This window comes from Homo sapiens, chromosome 8 (genome assembly GCF_000001405.40).
Source record: "Homo sapiens chromosome 8, GRCh38.p14 Primary Assembly".
NCBI classification, from domain to species: domain Eukaryota; kingdom Metazoa; phylum Chordata; class Mammalia; order Primates; family Hominidae; genus Homo; species Homo sapiens.
The window spans coordinates 21465860-21471340 of NC_000008.11; the positions used below are offsets into that span (position 1 = coordinate 21465860).

Consider the following 5481-nt stretch of genomic DNA (forward strand, 5'->3'; position numbering starts at 1 on the left):
AAGTTTATTTCTGATGTTCTTTCTTCGACCATCTTTCCCCATCTGTGGATTCCTCTGCTACTAGTTCACTGTTCCCTGGTTACTTACAGTGCAATCCTTCCCAGAACACTTGCAGGTTAATTCAGAGTCATAAAGATAGAATAGACTCCAAGATCCAAGGAAGTTTCTCCATTATGGTGGTGTTTCAGACACAGAAGTAAAGAGGGTGTGTGGGGACAGGGTATGAGAGGATCCAGAGGAACTAACCATGAAGTGGCACCTGGAACCTCAAGGGCTGCCACGTGAGGTATGCTCAGCCTGCATAACTGTCCATGGGGTGTGTTAACAGAAACACCCAGTCCCCTTGGAGTGTCAGCTCAGAGCCTGGCCACAGGCAAGAACACTGGCCTGGGGTCTGGACCTGGACTCTGGTCTAGCGTCTCCACTGACCTGCTGTGTGTGGCTAGACCAGTCTCTTTTCCCCTTCTCCTTACACTCAGTATCCCTATCAGTGTAATGGGGGGAAGGGTGGGGTGGGAATGGGATTAGAAGGCTGGTCTCCAGCCTCTTCCCATCCACACATCCTGTGAGCATCTGCAAGGACCCTTCTTGCCAAGAAAAACCATCAACACAACAGCAAACAGGGAGAGAGGACAACCAGCACCAGCCAAGCCTTCATCTGCTCGCTCACTCTAAACAGAAATCACTTACCCTAAACGGCAATCAGTCCTGATGGCCTCCTTTCCAAATGCCTTGTATGACAATGAGTGATTTGTAACAACATCCAATCAAGCGCACCTAACCTTCCTATAATTGCCTGTCCTTTTCAGTGTTCTTAAAAGCTTTCCAGTGGAAAAGAACAGAAGCTTCTCGTCAGAAGCAGATTATTATACAGAGGAGAGAGAACCCCCCCATTCCTTTCCTCCCTTCCAGCCCATCTCTGCACCCTCCCCAGTCTGTACGCCCCCTGCAGAGGAACCAGCATCTGGCTGACATCTCCACAGGCGCAGCAACCACCTGCTGGTATAAATCTCTCAGCTGTTCCATCCCCATCCAGGATCCTTCCCCAGCTCGAGGCAGGCCCAGCAGATTCCTGTCTTTCCTTCCAGGCCAGAAGAGGTAACATTAGTAGCATATTCAGTTCACACCGAACGTCATTATGAAAATCAGCAGAACGGAACACCAGAAAGGTCCAGTGACAGGCCCCGAGGTCACAGGGCAGGTGGGCAGGGCCACAGCTGAACTCCCCTGCAAGTCTGGATCCCCGACAAGTCACACACCCCCACTCCGTGCTCTGAACAAATGGAAAAACGACACTCCTCAGCTGGCCCGGGAGTGGTGCAAGTCCTGGGGGATTTCTCAGCTCCACCAGTCCCCCTCATCGTGGCAGACAAGTGTGAGAGCCAGGAGGAAAGCACACAGCTTAGAGCCCTGGAATCAGAATCCCACCAAATCATCATCGTAAGAGGGACAGAGAATGAACTGTGGAGTTGGAGGTCCCAGGAGTAAAAAGAGGGGCCGAAATTTTCCCAGAGAGAAAATCATAGGGGGACCACGTGCAAAAATCAGTGGCAATGTCATCTTCATCTGGAAAAGGCTAGAGAGAGATCTCACTCTCCCAGACGCACCATGCTCACTCTGAATCCCTTGATTTTTCTTTGAACCTCCTGACTCATTCGACAAATGGTCTATTGAGTCCCCCCTGGGTGAGAAGTCTGTGCTAGACACTGTAAGAGAAGTAGAGGTGCCTGTGCCAAGGGCTTTCCCGGCCCTCGGTCTGATAGGGTGTATGAGGCTTTCTTCAGGTGACTAATGACTGATTGAGAATGATCTATGCTTACAAGAGATGCCGGGCCAGGGGCTCTCACAAGGAGAGACGGATGGCCGCAAGCTGGGAAGGAGGGTGTTTGGAAGCATGGAAGTCAGGGAATGGGGTGTAGGAGGCACCATAGGCACAGCCTGAGCAAAGGCATGTGGCGGGGGCTGGAGGTGGGGGGAGCACAGAGAAACAGAAGGACAGAGACAACAATAAAGAAGTCAATGCCTGTCTCAACACCAAGGCCATTAAGCATCCACGGACCCTCGTTCAGACTTGTGGTCCTGCCACTGCATTGGCATGAAGGGTTCTGCTCTGAGAATGGCAAAAGGGAAAGAAATGCCTCCTCTGAGTCTTTGCAAAATAGCAAATATTTTTCCCACCAGATTAGGCTTCTTTTCCAAGAATATTTTCCAATCCCGCATTCCGAACATCAGGTCCTATTCAATGGGCCCTGGAGGCAAGGTAGCCCAGACCTTCCTAACTAGCCCAGGAGGGAGAGAGAATCTCTAAAGCATCCCTCCTCCACACCTCTCTGCACATAGCTGTTCCCCTGGTTCCACTGCATCCTTCAGCCTGTGGAATGGTGCAGGAACTGCTTTCTCAGCTACTCAGCCTCAAATCTCCCCTCTACCACCAGCCAAATCTTTCTCTTTCTTTAAGGTCCATCTCCTTCAAGAAGTCTTCCCTGCTCACCTGCCAGCCCAGCCCACCCCAGCGCACTCTCATCCCTCCCATCCTGAGCACAATCTAAATGTATGATTTGCACTGCATGTCTGGTGATCAGTGCATTGTAAAGCTATTACCTAGTAACAAAGCTGCTTCATCTCCCCAGTCAGACTGCCCCTATCTGTGGGTAGGGGCTTGTATTCTACCTCCCTGTGCCCTCTCCCCAGTACTTAGCACACTGGTTTGCTTCTGCTCTGAGTTTAAGAAACGTCTGTGAATTAATTGACTGATGAAAGGTGCTAAAGATTGCCAGGAAGGCTGCCTTTTATCCATGGCCCTTGGGACTCATGAGGGAATTCCACTTCCTTCATAACTTATCTCTCATGAAAAGTTTACCATTCAATCCAGTTCCTTTCTAAGCACAGTTCTTCCGCATACTGCCTGCCTCATGCCGATGAGCACCTTCTCTACCAATGGATGTCCATGCTCCAAACTCCTTCCAGGTGTCAGGCCCCTGGTGTCTTTGGAAGAAGACCCTGTAAGAGGGTTGCTGACAGAGGCTGCAGCAGGCCCAGCGTGAGCTTAGTTGCAAACTTGTTGGTACCCTTTGATGTTTTCCCACCACCACCTCTCACATCCATTCTGTCTTGACCTACCTGCTACAGGTGGCCCACACTCCTGTTCTCCTATAATCTTCATTCTCTCTTACAGGGAAATTAGCTAATGAACTTATTTCTGCTGATGTTCACGTCTGCACCTTCTACCCTACTCCCAAGCCCTGTGCAGGCTTTTAATCCCTTAAAAATAGAGGCAGTGCTTTTCTCATTTATACAACCCTAGAACTATGCATCGTTATTGGCGTTATTAGACACCCAGGAAATGAGGAAGGAAGAAAAATAAAGGAATGAGGAAGAAATGAAGAAAGAAGCAAGGAAGGAAGAAAGGAAGAGAGGGAGAAGTGGGGAGGAAAGAGGAGGGTGGAGAGAGAAGTGGCCCCAGGACTCAAATGTTGGACAAGCTCCAAGCAGAAGTCCATCTCTCTACATGACCCAGGGCAGAAGTTGCCCACCTGAACAAGTGTATTATAGTCCATTTTCACAGTGCTATAAAGAACTACCTGTGACTGGGTAATTTATGAAAAAAAGAGATTTAAATAACTCACAGTTCTGCAGGCATTACAGGAAGCATGGTTGGAAGGCCTAAAGAAACTCAGAATCATGGCAGAGGCGAAAAGGAAACAAGCACGTCTTTACCACGGTGGAGCAGGAGACAGGGAGAGCATGAAGGAGAAGTGCCACACACTTTCAAACAGCCAGATCTCGTGAGAACTCACTGTCACGAGAACAGCAAGAGGTAAGTCTGCCCCCATGATTCAATCACCTCCCACTAGGCCTCTCCCCTGACAAGCTGGAGATTACAATCGAAAATGAGATTCGAGTGGGGACACAGAGCCAAACCATATCAAACAGGATCAGTCTCTTTCAGCTTGCCTCTCTGTTTCCCAGTTTCCTCTTCTTCAAAAACAGGGATACGAGTAGTACCTACCTCAAGGAGTGGTTGTAAAGCATAAATAAATGAATGCCTGTAAAGCTCTTTGAGTATCGCCTGATACATGTTAAGCTATCAAGCCGCACAGGCCCCCACCTGTTACCAGATGCAACCTTCTTCCCTTTCTTTGTAGACTCTTCCTCCAGGTGAAACTCGGAAGGAGCAGGTATATGTCTTCCCTACTTGTTAAACTGCCTCCTATTGTGTGTACTTGGCTGCACGATGTATTGGGCACAGCTGTGTATGTGCTTTGTGACTCCTGTCTTAATGACTTCACCAGTAACTGATTGCAAACACAGAACCACAAGAATGCCTGATTTATACCTCTTTGTTTGAAATCAAAGAAGGATTCTGGCTGAGCAAAGTTTCCAGATCACTGAAGCTTATAATTCTAAGCACAGTCTCCTATTGCTCTGACCATTGTTGGTAACTCCATCATAACTGTGACCATCCTGTTGGTGGCAGCTATGGTGTAGTGGAAATGGCACTGGGCCCAAAGCCAAAAGACTTGTGGTGAGTCCCTCTGCATCTTAGCATTGGCACATCCTTAAATCTCTCTAGACCTCACTTTCATTTATAAAACTATGGCGTGCCCATCAATCTCACACTTGTTGATGAATTCAAGGGTGTAACGCCTGCGAACGGGCTTCAGAAACTCTGAAGTGCTTAGTACATGTTGAATGTCAACTTAGAGATGTCCTCAGGGATTGTTGAGCCTAGAAGAGCCATTTGCCCTGATACAAAATAAACCCCGCCCTGCTGTGCTAAGAAGTAGCTTCTCCCAACTTTTCCATTGCTGTTAGCTTTTCTAGTAGTGTGTCTTCCACTCCTAACCCTGTTGCCCTGACAGTCGGCTCTTGGCATCTAGCACCACTGCTTCTAGTCTGTCACACCCTGTTCACCTACACAACTAAGGAAATGAGTGCCTAACTCATTAAACAGTAACCATGATGCTTTCCCTGCAAAGTCAGAGAAATCGGGCACTCCTAGAGCTAAGCTGGGTCCTGGAAAACATCTAGTTAAGTTCCTTTTTTTTTTTTTTTTTGAGACAGAGTCTGGATCACTCTGTCACCCAGGCTGGAGTGCAGTGGCACAATCTTGGCTCACTGCAACCTCTGCCTCCCAGGTTCAAGCTATTGTCCTGCCTCAGCCTCCTGAGTAGCTGGGATTACAGGCACCTGCCGCCATGCCCAGCTAAATTTTGTACTTTTAGTAGAAATGGGGTTTCACTGTGTTGGTCAGGATGGTCTTGAACTCCTGACCTCGTGATCTGCCCGCCTCAGCCTCCCAAAGTGCTGGGATGGCGGGCATGAGCCACTGCGCCTGGCAATCTAGTTCAATTCTTTAAGATGAGGAGTTGGAAGAAGAAATGACTTATCTAAGATTAAACAGGCAGCAGAGCTAGAACTAGAATTTTAATCTCTTGATTTTCAACCCAAGCAGTCCTTCTCCTCTGGTCTGAGAGAGGC

At 48.5% G+C, this 5481-nt stretch overlaps 1 annotated feature.

The window, feature by feature from the left end:
* Window positions 546-716: a silencer, noted in NCBI's record as "fragment chr8:21323916-21324086 (GRCh37/hg19 assembly coordinates)". NCBI's record gives its function as "represses an EF-1alpha promoter that drives an FKBP-Casp9 reporter gene in an ReSE screen in HepG2 liver carcinoma cells {active_cell/tissue: HepG2}" and the evidence as "EXISTENCE:reporter gene assay evidence [ECO:0000049][PMID:32094911]".